General features: G+C 31.2%; 1 protein-coding gene across 14 annotated transcripts in view; it reads right to left on the reverse strand.

Moving 5' to 3' along the window:
- The window catches only part of BRINP3 (BMP/retinoic acid inducible neural specific 3), a 380207-nt gene that overhangs the window by 173755 nt on the left and 185324 nt on the right, over positions 1–21128 (reverse strand). For 11 of the 14 annotated variants that reach the window (NM_199051.3, XM_017001127.2, XM_017001126.2 and 8 more), the window contains one exon: positions 10148–10338. The exons of the other annotated variants lie outside the window; for them this stretch is intronic. In NM_199051.3, the coding sequence (NP_950252.1) occupies positions 10148–10338 (191 nt within the window). The remainder of the gene's footprint in view (positions 1–10147; positions 10339–21128) is intronic. 14 annotated transcript variants of the gene reach the window in all.

The raw sequence follows: 21128 nt of genomic DNA on the forward strand, positions 1-21128 counted from the left end.
AGCTGTAAAGGGTTTGTAATATCACTGGAATCTAGTAATAATTCGAAAGTTGTTAATATATTATTATTCTCTTTTATTCACCACTATTATTCAGAGCTGCATAAATCAACTCATTCCATACCTAGAAGTTTCTAGTAAATTTAGCTAGTTTATCTTATTTGTGATGAGAAGTTGGCCTTTCTACTTTTACAAATTCTTTAACCCTGTCCTATAGTCTGCAATGATATACAGAGAGTAAAGATCTCCCACCACAGTTCTTTAAATATCATATTGCTATCTATGTTGATTTTCAGATAAATGCTTTTCAGATAAATACCGCATTTCTACATATGTCTTTGCTTTTCAGGTAAGTATGGTGCATCATTAATTTCTTCTTAATAGGATTCCAATTGAGCCATACTTCACCCCCCAAAATAGCTGGAGCACATGCTCATTATTAAACAGTGAATTAAAACCAATTTGATTTAGGAATACTTCGCACATGTTAGGTTGTCCTATGATACAACTGGAAAGTGACACATAACAAGAAGTAGGGATCACCATTTTAGCATAGTCCTTATTGTAAGGACATGGATGATAATACAAACCTAATACATGTTGAGGCAATTAAAGATGAACATAGTAAAATGATGGTCTAACATCATCATCACAAATAAGAGGGATTTCATTTCCTATCTACAGGAGATTTAAAAGTCTTTTTCAGTGTCCACATTTGCTTGTAAGTTACAGATTAATATGACTTCTTACTTCTGTCGTGAAGAATATGTATTTCAGACAAGAAAAATCAGATGATAATATATTGGTGTATACCATAATACACTTTTATTACTAATTCTATATTGCTTGTGTTTTAATTGGCTTGGCTTCAATTAAATAATTCTAAAGGCAATATGACATAATGAAGGCAAATGAAACATGAGGTTTAGAGTCAGGTATGTAAGGGCAAATCCTAGTAATAGCACATCATCTCTCTACTTGTTGACTGTGGGGCTTTGGTAAAGTTGCATATGTACTTAGCATTCCCATCTCTAAAACAAAGAAAATATTCTTCTTTCAATTATCTGGGAAGATTAAATAATATAATCCCTCTACAGTACCTGGTGGATTATATGAGTGCAATAAATGTTATCTTTCTCTCTTTTCCTTTTTATTAAGACCTAACAGTTGATGAGGAAGTTTAAATTTTCATAAGCTAGGATTTCATAGTTTTTTAATTTTACCACAGGAATCAGGACATAGTCATAATTGTTTCTAATGGTTTTTATAATCAAAATATATAGGATTACTAATAATAGTAGTGGGTTATCATTTCTAATAGCCTGATAAAGATAATCCATTAATAAATTGCTCATGGTTCTTCTCTACAGTATAATTTTAATCCATGTATACAAAAGCTTTCCTTGTAGATATGCATGTAAGGCAACTTAAATCTGCAGTTTAAATCACCATAATAGTTCTTTTAATGAATATCCTGTTTAAAACCCTTACTTACAACAGAGCACATGACTATTTGATGTAAACTTGTTGCCTTGTGCTAACCTTCAACTTTTATAAATCATGGATTGTTGAATATTTAAGAAATTTTGAGAAGGGCACTCAATTTACATGGAGAATAGGCCTTTCTTTCCTGTAAGAGATCTGTTTTTTTTTTTCAATTGTGCATAACTATCATACTTTTGTAATTATCTTCTTCACAGTTGTTTGAGAATTTTACGACCTGAGAAAATGTATTCTCAATTTTTACTGTAACTTTTCCACAAGTATTAAATTATAACAATTCATCAGAACCTATGTAAATGACACACAATGTTCAGATTCGAAAACTGAAATAGTGTTATTCAATCAACTAAATGATTGCGTTCAAAAGTCATTTTTGTTCATTTTTTTAAACCAGCTGTAGCTCATAAGCATGACATGGGTTCCAAAGGACATCCACACATTTTGTAGAAACTAAATGTGATTTTGAAAATGATTCAACATTCTGAGTCTGTTAGGCAGCAAAAGGATTAATGACTGTGGATATAAAAAGATGTGATTATTCCACATAGAAATCATGCAGCTGTGTCTTGTGCAACTAAAATTTTGTGGTGGTTTATGGTCATTAAAAGCACATATTGAAGGATGCTTTCATAGAAAATGGGAAACAGGGGACAATAAAACAAACAAACAAAAAATCACCATTTTAATGTTATACCATGGCTGGCTCATAGAATTTGACATTTTTTATAAGATATGGCCCTTAAAATTATGTATTTTTCCATTCTGATCTTTAAATCATCTATGTTGAGTCAATGAGAAATAGAAATTAAAGAACCTTCATACTGTTTACTTCTCACTTGGATTTTCTCAATTGGCATTCTCATATATATAGTTATTGAGGGTAGAAACAGACTAAAAATAATAGATAAAACAATGATACGAAGAATCCTACAGGTAAATCAACAATGATAATGTGGTAGATTATTTTGTTCTTTGCAACTACTTACAACACCATCATAAATGCAAACATGCATACATAGTTTCATGATCCATTGTAGAGAACAACTATGAGCAGTTCATGATGCATTATATTTATTCTGATATTAGAAGGAAGGAGAATGCTGTGATCAGTGAAATGCAAGTGAGCCAGATGTTGATATAATGCAAGTTTGGACAGTCATCACAAAATTACACCTGTTCTCTTGCTTTTTACCCCTACCAGGAGGATGGCATGTTGCAAAAGAGTCCTTCTTCATTCCCAAGACACATAGATCAGAATCACAGGGTACCCACAGAAACCAACATATAATATTGGTCAGAAGCAACAATTATTGTTATGATCAACTAAAATTTGTGTCTTTTTTTTTTACTACCATGAGGCTGACTCTTATGAGTTGGATGTATTTTATTTTATTTCGCGATTGCCACTGCCCTTGAGTTAGTCCATTGTCCTATAATGTTTACATTCCGCCCAGAAAAAAAATTATGTGCATTTATGGCAGATGTCTTCCCGGTCATTCAACTTCCTTACATTTGAATATCTTACTCTGAATGACTGTTTTGCCTTGGAGTGATTTGTAGTTATTAAAAAATGCTATTTGAGTGAAAATCCTTCTCACAGAAATATACATTGAAAACATTGTTTAAATGTAATTGTTTGTAGGTTTTACTTTTGATGTAGCCTTTTGCCTCAAAAAGATGGTCCATTTTTTGGCAATGATAAGCCATATTATTACTTGTGCTAAAGCCTTACAATATTTTTTGTTATTGCTGCCCTTTTGAAATTATATTGAGTTTGCAGTTACATGTTGCTCTCAGGGCTGATAATCATCCTTCTTAAGCTCCACATGTTAAAGGTACACAGCCTGGTGAGATCTATCTACTAATCTACTAGTATGGTATTGTGGGGGAAAAAAGTGTTTTAGAAATAGATATACATAAGAAGAAAAAAAACAATCTTAGAGAAATAGGCTTTTGCCAAGAAGCAGAACCAAACATATTAGGATAGTTAAGAAATAGACATGTTGGCTTAACACCAATTGGCATCTGCAAGATATTATGGGGAGGAAAGAGCTAACCTTATATTACTTTGACAAAGAAACATAATATGTTTTGCAAAGTATCCCAAAGGAGAGCAACTGACCTTATGATTATTAAGAGTTACCCTCAAGAATAGACTACAAATTTTCTAAGCAAATTTGAAGGTACCATGATACTCTCGATAGTAGTACAATAACATGAAAATAAAGGAACTGGAAATAAATCGCTCTGAGGTTAGGTGGCAATGAATCTACCCTGAGTGAAATACAATTAAGTTACTTCTAATTTTGGAGCTATTTGCAATGATATAACAAGATTTTCTAAAACATTTTTGGTATGTATAGTTACAAACTCTTGCTATGATTTTTTTAAGATTATTTCTCAGAACAGTTGATTATACCTTAAATTTATACAGATACTTTAAACAGTGTTGTCTTAACTTAATGTGCATATAAATCACCTGGAGATCCTGTTAAAATGTAGATTCTGATTCATTAATCTGTGGTGGAATTTGAGATTCTGCATTTCTAACAAGCACCAAACTGATGCTGATGCTTTTCGTTCATGGACCACACACAAGTAATGAGGTTCTAAACCATAATAACATTTATTACCAAGTTAAATGTCTGTCTTTATCATTGACCTGAATGTTCATTTAAGGAAGATCTTGGGTGTTTTGCACCGTCATAAGTAACTCAGTATATATTTGTCAAAAAAGTAGACAAGTAATTTATCTACCTTATCAATGTGCTATATAAAAGAACCAGAAAAAATATAATAAAATGTCCAATGTTCTAGAACTTAACATTTATCTTTTACCTTGGTTGCCACGAACACCTTTACTAAGATCAACTGACACAGAAATTTTAATTACATTTTGCTCTTGTTTATTCTTATTATTTACATAAGTGATTTTTAAAATTGCTTTAGTAGATAACTGCCTTGTAAACAATTAAAAAAAGATTAACAATATTGCTTTAACTTCAGATATTTTATTTTATTTACCAGTGAAACATGATATATATATATATAGAGAGAGAGAGACAGAAAGAGAATGAGACAGAGAAACTGATATAATCTTAAGAAATATCAGTGATCTTAAGATTAATTTTAATAAATATCAGTACAGCAGTCCTTTTCTCCCTTCAATGACATTTATTTTGATTATTTCCTAGGATAGGAATCTTCAAAAATATTTATTTTTCTTTCTTTTAAAACAATATATATTCTGAGAGAAAGTAATTCTATGCATCTCAAGTAATTATTCATATTTCTTTAAGAAATAAATTATTTATGTGTGTGTATTTGGTGGATTAACTTTATTATGTTATAAACTAAAATGAAATAAATTTGTTCTTCCTAACAGACCAAGTGAAAATGAGAACCACAGCAGTTAACCAACTTTGAAAGAAGGTGGCATATGACAAATAATTAAAAACTGTCTGAATACTTTATACAGAACATAATTCACATAGTGAAAAGTGAGAATTGACTATTTCTGAAATTAAATGAGCATATTCAGAGTTCTTATTCTTATGGGAATGCAAATAACCCAAAAAATTATAATTGATATTTTATCCATATTGTATCTTACTAACTTCTGACTTACACTTTCTTTAAAAGACACACACACACACACACACACAATATTTTGTAAAACTTTTTAGATAAGTGAACTACATTGGAGGCATAGTTTTACATACACACACACACATACACACACACACACATATATATATACTACATGAGAATTGAGGTAGCATACATTGTTTTAAATCACTATTGTATGAAGTTAATACTATTTTTGCACATTGATCATGAATTTTTTATTCCAACAATGAAGAGAATTTTTTTTGTATTGAAACAAAATTAAATATCTAAAAAATGCTTAAGTTTAGCCATAGAGTAATCAAAATGTATATTATCTTAAGAAATACTTTCAGAAAAAAAATTAAAAGGACTTGCAAATGAAAAAAGTATATTGTAACTATTTCTGCTAATAATTTAATTATAGCTTTTTAAATTGTACATTCAATAACAGTGGTCAAACTGAACTTGCTTTTATGATGCCTAGAATAAAAACTATTCTTCAAAGTTTTTCTAAATTAACAAATCTTATTATATTGTCTATTTGATCCTGAAATAAATTTTGGTTTTATATATATATATATATATATATATATATATTTATATTCAGAAAAGAAAACTTTTTCCCTGCATTCCTCTACATGAGAAATTGTTTTTTGTAAACAATCCTCACTGTTAACATGTGTCTGATGGCCCACAGAGCTGCAGTGAGTTAACAGAAAGGCATAGTGTAGGAAAGAGGCTGCCCATGAAAACTCCACCTCTTACTCTTCCTCCTTTTGTGGATGTGCTTGTCAGGAGATCACAGGCTTTGTTCTGCTCCTCACTGCCTTAGAGCTGAGAGAGACAAGAGTACTAGCGGAGGAACTCACAGGTTTCCTGGCTACTATGACTGGTTGGATAACGCTATATAATTCAGGAGATGCGGATAAGGGCACATTTAAAATTTCTATAAATATTTTGTTATAACATTTAATACATTTTTAATGAATATTTTGGTCTCTATGTTCCTTAGTGTTTTGTCTTTTAAAATTGATCCAGAACACAGTTTTGTTGCATTATAGTAAACTCTCTTTCTCCCCCTAATTAAAGCCCACCAATTTTAAAGTCATTATTTTTTGTCATATTCACTTATATTTTGTATTTTGTATTCAGTACACAGATACACTTTAATTTTAGTATTTGTCATATATTGAATTATAATAAAGGTATTACAAAAATGGTCATTAAATATATTCCATAGCTAGAAATCAATATTTCCCAGAAGTGCAGTCTTTTTCAAGATTGATTCTTTCAATTGAGTAGCTTATTTTAGATATTCAAACAGTGATGGAATTTAGATATCATTATCCAAAATAGAAGCAAACTGAATTACTATATCGATAAACAGTCTGGTAGCTATAAAATGAAATAAATGGGGAAAATAATATATATTGAAGAATGTTTTTTATAATTTATTTTTCTCTATAGATAGAATGATAATTCAATCACTGGCTTTATCTGTCATAAAATATCCCATTAAAGGCTTCAAGTATGGTACCCAAAGTTTTATGTCTACATCAATAATATGATATACTAAATAACTCTTAGGGGAAAAAGCCATTTTTCATGTATTTCTTTTTATGACTGTAAAACTGATAGTGAGTATTTTATAGTCAACTTGTTTTGAAAAGCATTGAAATTTTTTTGAAGATTTAGGTACTTAGGAAGCACCTAGTCATAATACAACTGGCTTTTTGTTAAAAAGGTTTGCTTATATACATTACACCCTAGTGTTATAAGTTTTTCCTTGGTCTTCATTAATTAAGAGAAAGAAGTGGAGGGATTAGTTCAATTTAAATGCCACAAACCTCCATTTTTTTTAAATGGAGAAATACAATTTCATGTTCAATCAGGTAAAACAGTGAAGGTTAAATGATAAACTCACAGCCACTAAAAAGATTTTAGTGTAAGTACAATAGCAATAATTTTAAAATTGCCAAAATCATTTCTGGTATACATTTTAATCGCAGATATCTTATATCCTTAAGCTATTTAAATAATTTCATGCATCTTAACTGAATTATTAACTTTAATGAACAAAAATTCCCGCAGGAAAATAAAGTAATATTTTGAGAAGAAAAATAATTCCAGCACAAAAAACTATGAAAACTCAATCCAAGGAATATTCAGAGATTAGAAACTGAGTAAGGTTGTTAATTCCATCTCTTTCCCCCTTTAAGGCAATACTTGAACAAAACTTTCAAAAAACTGAAGTAAAATCATTTAGAGAGAGCATACTGCCATCACTGGAAGAATCAACCTCAAGTGAATAATCTTACAAATTTTGAAACATGGTGTATACAAAAAAAAAACATGCAAAACAAAAACGAATCTTAAGGCCAAAATGTGGCATCCACCATATCAACATAGTAAAACAATTAAATTTAAAAGTCACCATAATTTTGGAACTAAGGAACAAGAATGTCTATGGAACCATTGGTGTTTTTGATCTCTTCTGTCTTTCCTCTGTCTTTTCCTTCTTTTCTTATCTGGAAAAATATATTTTATCTTCTGAAATACTTACAGGTGCTTTGAATCACTTATATAATAATAATGAAGTATGTGTTTCAAAATCACTGAACTTTTTCAGAGGAGGAGTTATAGAAATAACTCAAATTTTACCTTTCAGATTTTATTGCATTAATAATAATTGACATTACTAAGCCAAATAGACACAGCTTTCACAGAATCAATCTTCACAATTATTAAAATATTTTATATTTTTGGCTATCTACACTAACATAATGAAAACAACTTCAATGCATCACATACTTAAATTATACCACACACTGTGCTAAGCACAGTTTTCAACATTTATACTAACCTTTCTATGTCCCATCACATAGGTGTTATTCTCCCCTTTTCTGTTAAATAATTAAAATGCAGAGGAATTACTTAATAGATTTTAAAGTCTCACAGTTGCCTAAAAGACGGGGAGGGAGAATCAGGATTCAACAAGGATATGGCTGATCTCTTTCTCTTCTTATTTTATCACTATTCATTTGTGGAACAAGGTAATGGAGAAATAGTGTGTATTTACAGCCAGACTTTTCCATCTGCCTTAGCCGCCTATATTTTTCACCTTTAATGTCTTGAGATTCCATGCCGGAGTTATTTTCCACAATGTGCTCAGGCATCCACTCCTTTTTCAACCTGTTCATGCCTTCCTTATCTACTCTTACTTGGGTACTGATTCTCATCAATTCTGAATCTTTATTTGTGAATTTGACCCAGTTGGCTCTCTGGATTTGCTTGCATTCAGAATTATTCCTGAATTATAACTCAATTATCCTCTGTTTATATTATAAATGTTTACATATATCTAGTTATTTGGATGACCTCAATCTCCTAAGAAAGTGTAGTTTTACTTGTTTATTCATTTAACAAACAGTTAATGAGAACCTACTGTAAATGAAGGGCAATTATAGCCATGGGGATGAAGTGGTGACCAATATAGCTAAGGCCCTTGTTTTTAAGAAAATATGCAAGAACTACAGATAATAAACCAATAGCCAAATAATTAAAATAATTTCACATGATAATAAATACTGTGATAAATGCAAATGTGATCATGAAATAGTAGAGAACAATGGGGTTCACTGGGCACTATTGATGAAAGAGTAGTCAGGAAAAGGCCTCCCTGAAAAAATAACATTTGGGTAGAAAAATGTGAACATCATTGTGACTGTGACTGAAAAATAGAGCATGAGGAAGAAATGAGAAGAGGCCTGAGTTTAAAGCTAGCATTCACAGATCATTGATGTAAGGCTTTATAAACCACAGGGAGACACTTAGATTTTATTTTAAGTGGCCAGTTCTAGGTTTCAGTTAAAACAGTGAATATGAACTGATCCAAGATTTTAAAAGAGCTGTGTGGAGAAGGGACCATTTGAGTATTGTAGGAAAAAAAAAATGATGATGTCTTGGTCTAGAGATGCTGGAGAGCAGGTGAGGAAAGAGTTTGATATGGGGTATATTCTGGTGTAAAAAATTGACATGACTTGCTGAAAGACTGGGCTGGCAGGTTAAGGAAAGACAAGACATCCTCTAAGGCTAGAAAATGAACAAGCTGCCTTTTGTGACACCATACCATTGCTGCGAATCAGTCCGGCTATCTTTGGTAAACCCATTAAGAAACTGACAAGAAAGCAGGGATTCACTCTTTTCCTGGCTTTCCTATTCAATTTTATACAGTGTTCTTCATTATAAGAAAAAGTAACATCTATTTCTAAATGCAATTGTGGGACATGATTTGAAGTCAAACACAAAATTAAATATATGTAATTCTGGGATATTTTTTAATTTTAGGAAAATGTCATATGTTGCTTATTACACATTATCTCCTAAAAGGTCATTTAAGTATATTCAAAATGCTGAATCACACATCACTATGAAAAAGCCATATTTTTAAGGCTAAATAGTATTTAACAATATCACACAATAGCTTCCTTAATTTTTACAAATGTATACATTTACATATACAAAGAAAGTGACATTTATTCATTTCTACTTTCTTATTATGCATCATAATTATTTGTTTATCACTTTTTCCGTACCAGCTACAATCTGTATCAACTACAATCAGAAACACTAAAATGGTGCTAACAATGTAATTGTAGTTATTTAATATGTACTCAAAGAAATCTTTCCTTCTCTCTATAACTAGAATTGATGACCCCACCTGTGACTTCTTATTATTCATGTATTTTAAATAAAAGTTTCCATATCACCTTACAGAGTGCAACAATTATGTCAAATATTTGTATGTTATTAGATTGTAAATAGCTTTCATGCAGAAACTTAGTAATATTCATCTGCTTCACAACTGTGAACACTGTGTGGGACATTTAATAATCACTCAAAATGTGTTGGGTAAATGAATGAATGAGTTCTATAACTATTCATACTGTAGCTATCTTGATTAATTAACACTTTTCTGCGATTTATACGGTTTTAGGCACAAGCACACACAGGCACAAATAGGTTCAAAGAGCCGTACCTCCCAGAGTAGCAGATAGCAAGAAATGTGTCCCATATTTCTTGATAAGGTTTTCTGTGATTTGCTGAAGGGTAGGTCGACGTCCCAAAAGTCTTATGTTGCGGAAGAATTCAGGGGCAAGAGGCAGAGGAGAGCCAAGGAAATTTCTTCTCTCAACTGCAAGGTTATTTACTTTCCAGCGGCCAAACTCCCTGAAAAGCAAATTTATTTTTATTCATAAATGCATAATCTATCTGAATGTTTTCATTTGAGTTCACTTGGTAGCTGGGGTCAGTACATTACAATGTCTCTTGCTTGTAATACTAGGTTGTGTGCTATGAGTAGGAGAAGCAATATTTATAATTTATTTAACTGGAGTGAATACTCTAAAACCAAGTCATGTAAAGGAAAAATAAGCCACCTAAAGTGTACAGCTTCCACTGAGATTTTTTTCCCCAAGAAAATATATTTTCATAAAAACGACTTTATTATGCCTAGAATATGAATATAGAGTTACTAAACAGTAACAAAACAACTTAAGGGCAATTTTTTTCATTTTCTAAGGTATATTGGAAAAAAAGAATGATTTATATTCATCACCCTAATGATTCCCTTTCTCTATTCACTTTAGAGTGGGAACATAAAAAACCTCAGGAATATTAAGGAGACGCAGAACTTTAAAAACAACAAAAAAGAAATCAGTTTTCTTCTTTTTTTTTTTAATAATCATGGTTTACAACATATTTGGAAACCCAAATTCAGCTATTGCAATTTCTCAAGATGCAAAGTGATTTTATGGATGAATTTGGCCAAGTTAGAAAAATGAAAGATATGTCTATAAAAGATTTATACATTTTTTAAAGAATGTATACATTTACATTGAGATAAAATCAATCTGATAATAAATTAGAAAAGAATTATAGCAAACTGCATCTGATAATTTTTCTGAGAAGTGGTCCAATAAAATTCTCAAATATCACCCACAGGGAAGAACACTCTTCATTAGGCTTAATACTTCAAAGTGTGTTAATTCATATTTATAAAATAATCAAATAAAATGTTAATTAAACACTTTATACACATGTGCAATCTTTATTTCTATTTTTCTCCAAAAAATGCTTGCTATGTGCCAGGATCAGTGCATGATAAGAGATTCATCTACTGATGAGACCCACACTGTCCATCTGCAAGTAGCCTTCTCCTTTTGGAGAAATGTTTAGGAATAAATAAAATAAAGACAGAAAATTAAATTTTTTAAAGTTTTAAATTCTGATATGTACTGAGAGATACACATACAGACCACTTTGATGAGAAATATGACTATATGAAGTGTGGCCATATTTTACATTACATGGCCAAGGAGGGTAACTCTGCCGAGACAACAATTAGGCAATATGTGAAAAAATAATAATAAATTGCTTGGTGCAAGGAGGCAGGAAAAGGACTGAAGCAGAATAATGAGGAACAGTGTACATACTTCCAGGACAAAGGGACATGACACTGACAGTTTCTAACTATGGATATTTAGTACTTGTGGCACATATTTGACAAACAGCCCATTTTTGTCACTAATTATATGATCAGAATCACTTTTGAATCTAGGGAAGACTTTGGCCTGAACATAAATTAGAAATTCTTTCATCTTTGAGAAATTCTTGCTATCTCCTGTAAGAATCAGCTCATCTAAAGTTTTAATTAGTGTTTTTCCTCGAAGGGTTCTCAAACTTCAGCACCTATCAGAATCACCTGGAAACTTCACAACAGAGATTCTGATTCATTAGGTATTAGATAGGAGTTAGAATCTGCATTTTAAACAGACATGCTAGTGCTGCTCTTCTGGTGACCATACTTTGAATAAAACAACCGATCTACATAATTTGCTATATTGTCTTTCAGATCTCTTCAAAGTGTCATCTTTTCAGTAAATATAGGGCTTTTATAGGCTGAATTTATTATAATGTTCCCTCAAAATAGAGTAAGAATGTCTTTATCTTTCCAAACCTAAGTTGATATCAATAAATTTTTATGTTAGTCACTTCTACAATAAATTTACTTAAATCTGAATTGTAGGTACATAATGTATGTATATGTATAATATATAAAATATATAATATTAAATATAGGATATATAAATAAAAATTTAAACATTGACAAAAGATCATTTGAAATCAAATATTTAAGTCCTAAATTTGATGATATATCTCAGGATATATAGTAATACAAAACTTCTAAGAAGTTATTTTTATACCATGATCAAAATAATAGTTGCTCATTAATTCCAAAATTTATAGGCTTATGCTCAAACATTTAATTTTTTAACTCCTGAAAAATGCTTGTAATTTAATCAATAGAGTAACATAACTTGACCTTAAAGCTGTGACATGTATTTTTCAGTGGTTTACAGTGCTAAATTTGTTAACTCAAATGTATTTATAGATTAAGATACAATCTAAGTGAAATAATTAGACTAAAAAATCCAAGATGATTGATTCAATGGTAATATTTTATATCCTGTATAAATGCTTTCTAAAATGCTGAAAGATTTTCGATACATGACTGAGAGTAAACACATGCTAGAAAAGTGCAATTCTATGTTTTTTAACAATTAGTAAATATGCAAATATAAATCCATGATCTATTCTGACCTGATGTATTTATGACTTCCTTCATTTTGTTCCTCTTAAATAAGAACAATAGACATATTACAAAACAACTAAAACAAATTATGTATCTTATGAAATCAATTTATAAGGCTCTATAATACTGTAGAATCAGCTATTCAAAGAAAATATTGTTTACTCTTTATTATCAACTAATATTATTGTCCATGTTGCTGGCAATACAGATGAACATAAGAAAATCTATGACCTCGAGGGCTCAAAAATTATACAAAGATAAAATATGAATGAATAAATTGCCATTCAAAGGCTTTAGAGTATTTTTCTGTGTAAAAATACAATTGTATAGTAGCTTAGTTAGCCCAACTCCTCTACCCATTTATCATTGTTCTTTGATATGAATGGATCTAATCCAACTCACTTTGGATATGTTTTCTCTGAATAGCCTAAGAAGGCTTCCTGGACAACTTTCCAGAGAGCTTCCTTCAGCTATCAGGTACTTTTTACTCACTCAATATGTTAAATTTGTAGTCTCACTTCACCTTCTAATATTTCAAATGATAAAACACTTTGACACCCCATCTATTAATCTATTATCTCTGTCATGCAAAAAACAAAAAGAAAGAAACTCTTTGGGGATATCACCAAACTAAAACTAATTAAATAACTAAATAATTATAGTTATTGTTAATAACTAAAGAAAAATATTTTCTTAATTTCAAGAAACTTAATCTTCCAGTTTTCTCCCCATATTTTCATATAAAGAATAAAGCAAAATACTACACCATTGTGTATATCCAAAAGAATAAAGCAAAATACTACACCATTTTGTATATCCAACAAGGTTAGTTTGTGTAGACAACATAAATTTCAAATTGAAATCTAAGAGAGCTCTTATTTCCTCTCCACATTTGGTTTGTACTGTCGTGAAATATGATCACTGTTATAATCTTTATAAAGTTTTTCTGGAAACTGAGATAAAACAACAAAATAATCCTAAGAAGTGGTGATAAGAGCGCTTTAAGTAAAGACAGTCATCTCTGGAGAACCACACTGTGAGTAGTAAACATTAGATATGAATCGAAATTCCCAGTGTCCCTTTTTCCCGAATACAAGATAAGACATTACTGATGACATTTTAAGTCACCGTGGCCATGTGGCTTACTTTGACAGATGAATTGTGAGCATGTATGTATAACCTGGTCCATAAGCCCGGACATTGATTAGCAACTATAATCAGAATTGCTATGGTCCACATATATCCCTAACGCTTAACAGGATGAACAAGTGAATGAACTGAAAGTAAATTTTGTCATGTAAAGTCATCAAGATTATGGGAGGCTGAGGTGGGAGAATCACTTGAACCCAGGAGGCGGAGGTGGCAGTGAACCGAGATCATGCCACTGCCCTCCAGCAAAGATTATGGGATTATTTGATTTGCTTATTTTCTAGTAGTATAATCTAGTATATCATTATTGATGTAAAGTTTTTTGACTCTGGGAAATCTTAGGAAGGTAATAAGGAGCTAATGTCTGTATATAAATTGGAATCTAAGGGGTGAGGGTTTGTTTTTTTTTTCCTTGTTTCCTGAAGACAAGATTCACCTCAGTTACAACTAGATCATGCATTCATTAAATGTTGGAAAAACAAAGCAATGGAGCGCTGAATTAAAAACATGCTGTTGGATGTAATTACCATAATGAGAACATTTTACCTAAGGCATCTCAGGATTTCATCCAGATGCTTTATGTTTATATTAAATAAGAACATTGTTGTATCTAACTAAGTGTTGTATTCTACTTGGAGCCTTCACAGAACGTAACTATCTTCCCATCATAACGTTTGCAAGTCTTTCAATTAAATAGGCACAATCGTTAGTTTAATGTAACTCAGTCCTTTTCAAGACACCACTGTGATATAGAACACACATATGGGCTGTAACCAGTTTAACCAGAACATTACTTTGAAAATATTTTTGGGGATCATACTCTAAGGAGCCTCTATTTGTTTATTAGAGTTTTATGTTTGTCTGCTAAAAACTCTGATGTGCAATCATCTACTATGTATGTCCATACAACGTTAATTTTTCTACAATGTTTATTATAATTTTATCCCTACTCAGCTCATAAAAAGGCTAGAAAATAAGAATGACATCATCAAATTTCAGTTAAATGCTGGTCACATAATTGCCACATTGCCATTAACCTTTCTTATTAGCATTTAAATATATACAAATACACAAATGTACTCAGTATATTTAAAAGATATTAACTGTCATGATTTCTTTAAAAGTACACACATATGTTTGGCTTTCCCAAAACACAGAATTTGCCACTCTTCATATTAGAAATTTTGGATTAAATACCAATGAAAAAGAAACCCAAAATATATTGACAAAAGCAGATGATGCAGTAGCTGAAAAGATTTACCTTTAACTGTTAATTTCCATTAAATGAAGTTGTCTAAAGTCCTAAATGCTATTATTACATTACTTTTCACATTACTATATTTGTTGGCTAGTAATTTTATCAATAACCATTAAAATTTTCAGACACAATAGAATCTTAAAATAAATATATTACCTAAGCATTCATGTCTACTGGAACAAATTCAAAACAAAAATCACAAATTAACTTGCCAAACTTTAATAACGATAACATTCTAATTACATCTGTAAAATCATATGGATCTTAAGAAATGGCACTAATGTCAATATTGGCTCCCCATAATTTTATTGAGAAACTGTGATATATAAAATTGACTTTAAAAGCATTTTTACTGGCTGGGCACAGTGGCTCATGCCTGTAATCCAAGCACTTTGGGAGGCTGAGGCGGACGGATCACTTCAGGTCAGGAGTTCGAGACCAGCCTGGCCAACATGGTGAAACCCTGTCTCTACTAAAAAAAAAAAGAAAAAAAAAATAGCCGACTGTGGTGGTGTGTGCCTGTAATCCCAGCTACTCAGGAGGCTGAGGCAGGAGGATCACTTGACCTGGGAGGCAGAGGTTGCAGTGAGCCAAAATTGTGCCACTGTACCCCAGCCTGGGCCGCAGAGCGAGACTCCATCTCAAAAAACAAAAACAAAAACATTCTTACCATATAGCTTCAACATCTCACAAATGACACTGTTTTCCATTTGGCTGGTAAAAGGAAAATGTTTTAAATGGCCTGGATGCCTGTACCACTGAAGCTAGTGTTTATAAAACAGCTAAATGCTCAGCAATTGGCAAGATAAAAAAGTCCACTCTCCCTTTAGCCCCTTGATACATCAAACTTTTTAAAATAAATTTAATAGTAGTAGAGTTTAATTTTTTTTTTAAGCTTGGGAAAAATTTTTGGATGATGCTGGAAATTTAGCAGAATGAATCTATTCCAATAAAATACTGGGGATAAAAGTCCAATCACAAATACAACTTATGTAAAGTGTTTATATGTAGGATTTCTGATAAGCACTGATTAATGACTGTTGTATTTTGAAAAAGCTGCCAAACTCAAAGTAGACTACAGAAGACAATTGGCATGACTGCAACAAAAACAATTGCCATCTCAGTAGAACAACAAGAATTAATTGTAGCTGTAACCTCATGACTATCATTGAAACAAAAAAGATGAAGGTGGGGCTATTGAGAAATTTTTAAAGGATGGTCTGGTTTATGGCTAGTTATGCACACTTCAGATTTTTAAAATATGTTATATTTTAGGGCTTTGAAATTACTGAAAATAATTTAATTTTATGTTACATAGTTTTAAATCACTTTCATAGCTTAATAGGGTTTTATGCAAACTAAGAGAAATACAACACAAATGCAGGTATATATGATAATACAGAAATTGATTAAGCTTGTTTAAATTAAATCACATTTTGAACACTTGTTAGCAAAAGCTTTCTGTAAAAACATACAAACATGCTGTTAATGATCTTCTCATTTGAATAAAGGAAAATATGTAAGAATTTTGCTTAAATTTTGCTTTCTAAAGTTTGAAAGTATAGTTTAATTTCTATCACAAATATTATATCAACTTATCAAAATTACTCCTTAATTACATTCATATAATAATACAGATTAGGTAACTATTGATAAGTGTAGACAAGTCAAGAGGCATAGACATATCTGAGCTAAAATAAAATAAAATAAAATATTTAGTCTGTTTCTGATAAAAAGAGATACATGGAATGTTTTTATTTTAGCATTTATACTTACAGAAGTAATTCATTATCTTCATTAATAGATATAAATATTTGCATTTGTGAATATATTTTATTATTTTAGATAGGGAATTTTAATTTTTAAAAGGAAATGGAATTTGGAGTGAAACAACTGAAGTTTCAAATCCTATACTCACCAATTTAATTCACAAAATGTAAAGCTTTCAGAATTTTTGCAAGTTCATAACCTCGGTGATATAAACACACCTCATCTATGATCATGGGTGTAATAAAACTGATACAGGAGACATTTTGAAGTAAAATTTGTAAAACTTAACTACAGTAGTACAGATAACATGGATTACTTCTTAGTAATTTTTGGTACATGTAAATTTGTGAAGTGGGTTTTTTGTGCCAGGATGTTAATTTTTAAAAATGTATAAATATTATTGATTAAGGTAATGCGATTTTGTGGAATTAATAAGTAAAAATTTACAAAAGAATTTATAAATAAAATCACTTAAAGAATATGCACCACACCAGTGTTGTTCCAGGTATAGACTAATAAGTTTAATGCTCATAAAGATAGGTAAATGTGAAATAGATATCTGTTAATGAAAAAATAATGTTTGCTGACAATTTCTTCAATTATTTAGGCAACATTTCCACTGAGATTTCTTTATGATGATACAACATCTACCTTAAATTAAACATTGGATTTTTTTTTAAACCATGGATTATGTGAAGGTAACTAACCAATTATATATCTGAGATTACAATAAATTACAACTTCACATATTGCTTCATTTCAAGTTACATGAAGTAAGAAGGCAAAATGAAGGATTTTTTAAAGAATAACTGCATTTCTAGTGACAATAAATATAAATTGCCCATCTTTTAAAGAAAATTTTTCATAATAAAGATGAGTTTTGAATAATAACTCAATTCAGTAGAATTTACATTTTTCCTGAAATATGTCTTAAAATGTCTTAAAGGGAATTCCTTTTAAAATGTTAGATGATTTTTCCCACATAGTTGAGGCAAATGAAAATGTGTTGCTGCAGGTCATAGGCTTTAATATACAAATAATTTATTTCAACATGCTCTTAATTTTATGTCTTTCATATATACATCAGATAGGGAGACTGAATATGGTACTTTGTGACAAAATAAATTTTCAGAAAAAGTATAAACTTAAGTTTACAAGGTATAAATTTTTTATTCCCCAAATTATAACCTTTCAGTATGAATCAGGCTTGATTGTTAGAATACAATTTTACACACAAACACTTTATAAAATATTAACAGGTAATTTCATCTTTCTGTGGATACCACTGTCTTGTATGGATTACAAATTGAAACTTGTTATCTAGCAAGCACTTGGTCTTACCATCTTCTTTTGGGGATTTATATAATATAAACTTCTTAAATATTACCTGCTTCATATGAACTTCAAAGACACTAACAATATGTGGGAACTGCCATCTTTTCTGCTCTACCATACCTGTCTCCAATTAATTCAGGTCCTCTTGTTATATGCACTCGTGGCACAATTTTCTTTTCCTTCTGTGAACTTACTTGTGTCACTCTTTGATTCATGTTTCATGTAGATGTGAATTATTTTTTCTTATAACCATTGTATTTTTAAGACTCAAATGAATGACCCATAGTAGTCACTCATTAAATACACTCGGAATCATGAAATGAGTAAATATTCTCATGTGAGCTAAAATGAAATAGCTACCTAAGTATGAAAAAGAATGAGGTTTCCTACTAGTTAGTATACACCCTGACTAAAGTTCACAGAAAATCAAACTCAGTAGAGGAATATATTTCTCAATTATCCTCTTTGAGTGTTCATGTGACTAGGGCAAATTAAAAGTTAACTATTTGCTCTAAACTGAGAAACACTAACCGTATGTAAAAACCTACTCCCACTGATATCTAAAATATATGTTTGGAAGTTTAGAAATATGCTATCATTTCCTGCTAGGGCAGTAAAATGTATAGTTGTGGTACTCCAAGCATCTTACGGTTAATACACTTTGAGAACAGCAATCCAGATATTTCAGCTATAAAAAGATTTTTAATTTCTCTAATCTATGCCAGCCATAAGGCAGGGGAAGCACATTGATATAGACAAATTCAGTTTTCATCTTTTATGGGCGAAATAAATATATTTGACTAGTTTTCTCCTATAAACTTTAAAATGTAATTTTTCACTGATTAGCAGTCAATAAGTTTATACGTTTGGTAGGCAAAAACAACTTTCATACTAGTGTTCATTAAACATTTTCTGCCAGATAACTTTTACTTCATCATTGAAATTGAAATGATAATTTAATTAGACTTGTTTCTAAGCGATCAACCTATGAATTTTAAACTATGGCACTGAGGTGTGTGCTCTTTTTATCTCCTTGTGATAAATGAGAGAAGATTGTTAGAAATAAATTCTCCGAGGCTGTATATCTAGCAAGAATTTGAATCTAGGGGGTGAGACCTCAAACTTAATGACATTAACTCATTTACAGATTGATAGCAACTTTGATTGAAAGGTGGCTGTTACTGGTAATGTATATCTGTGAGTGTTTGTGTGTGTGTGTGCACGTGTGTGTGTGTGTATTTGTGGGAAGCATGGAGGATGCATGGGAGAGACAGAAAAAGATATGGAGTATAGAGAGAGAGAGGAAAGAGAAGAAACAGACAAGGTTGAGAGAAGTTTATCCATTAAATGGGGAGGAATGTGAGAAATACTAATATATATCAAACAGAAGCAAAAAGCCAAGTATAGATTAATCTTTTATTGTCCTGACTAGCTACCCAGGAAACAGAGAATGTAAACCTCTACATGGTAGAAGGACTTAAAGGGCCTTTGAGAGTATTTCACATTTCTTAAAAGATGAATTGTAGGAAGTGAATGATTAAAGAGGTTTATAATCAGTTACTTTAATAGGTGATATAGTATAGTCCAAACTCTGAGCTCAGGGTGCAGAGAACACAAGCACAGACAACAAATGCATATATAGATGCATTGGATTACAACAAAGTTAAAAGCTTCCAAACAACAAAGGAAATAATATACAGAATGGGAGAAAATAAGGGGTTCATATCCAAAATATATAAGGTGCTAAAATAAATCAATAATAAAAAGTAAAACAAATAAAAATACCCTGATTTGAAAATGAAAGAAGGACCTGAATAGATATTTCTCAAAAGAAGATCTAAAAGTGGCCACCATTTTAATAAAAAATATTCAACATCACTAATCATCAGGGAAATGCAAATTGAAACCACAATGAGATATCACTTCACTCCTGCTAGAATAGTTACAATTAAAAAGACAAAAGTTAACAAACTTTGGCAAGGATATGGAGAAAAGGTAACCCTTGCACACAGTTGGTGAGAACGTAAATTGAAACAGCCATTGTGGAGAACAGTTTGGAGATTTTTCAAAAAATAAAAATAGAACTACCATATGATTTGGCAATCCCACCACTGGGTATATATACGTATTTATATGTTGAAGAGATATCTGCACTTCCATGTTTATTGCAGCATAATTCACAGTAGCCAAGACATAGACCCAACCTGTGACCATTGGTGAAAGAATGGATTTTAAAAGGTGTTATATGTACACAATGGAGTACTTATCAGCCATAATAAAGAATGAAATACTGTCATTTGTGGCAATATGGATGAACCTGGAGGAGAGGACATTATGTTAAGTGAAATAAGCCAGGTATAGAAAGAAAAATTCCACTTGACCTTTCTCATATGTGAAATCTGAAAAAGTTGATCCCATAAAAGCAGAGAGTAGACTGGTAGCTACCAGAGGATGGGGATATGGAGCCATGGGAGGGTTTGGAAAATGCTGGCCAAATGATACAAAATGACAGAAGGAAGAAGTTCAAGAGGTCCATTGTAGAGCATGGCAATTATAGTTAATGGCCATATATTGTATTCTTGAAAAGGAAGTGATCAGCAAACCTAAAATACTGATGAACTGTAAAACTTATTATGAAGAGTCACTCTACATGACAAGAAAAAATATAAAATAAAAAAAATGACAACTGGGCACAGTCGCTCATGCCTGTAATCCTGAAACTTTGGAAGGCTGAGGCTGGAAGATTGCTTGGGCCCAGGAGTTCGAGAGAAGCATGGGCAACATAGCTTGCTCTCTACAAAAAAATAAAAAATAGCTTACTCTGGTGGCATTTGCCTGTAGTCCTATCTACTC

This window comes from Homo sapiens, chromosome 1, assembly GCF_000001405.40.
Source record: "Homo sapiens chromosome 1, GRCh38.p14 Primary Assembly".
Lineage (NCBI taxonomy): Eukaryota > Metazoa > Chordata > Mammalia > Primates > Hominidae > Homo > Homo sapiens.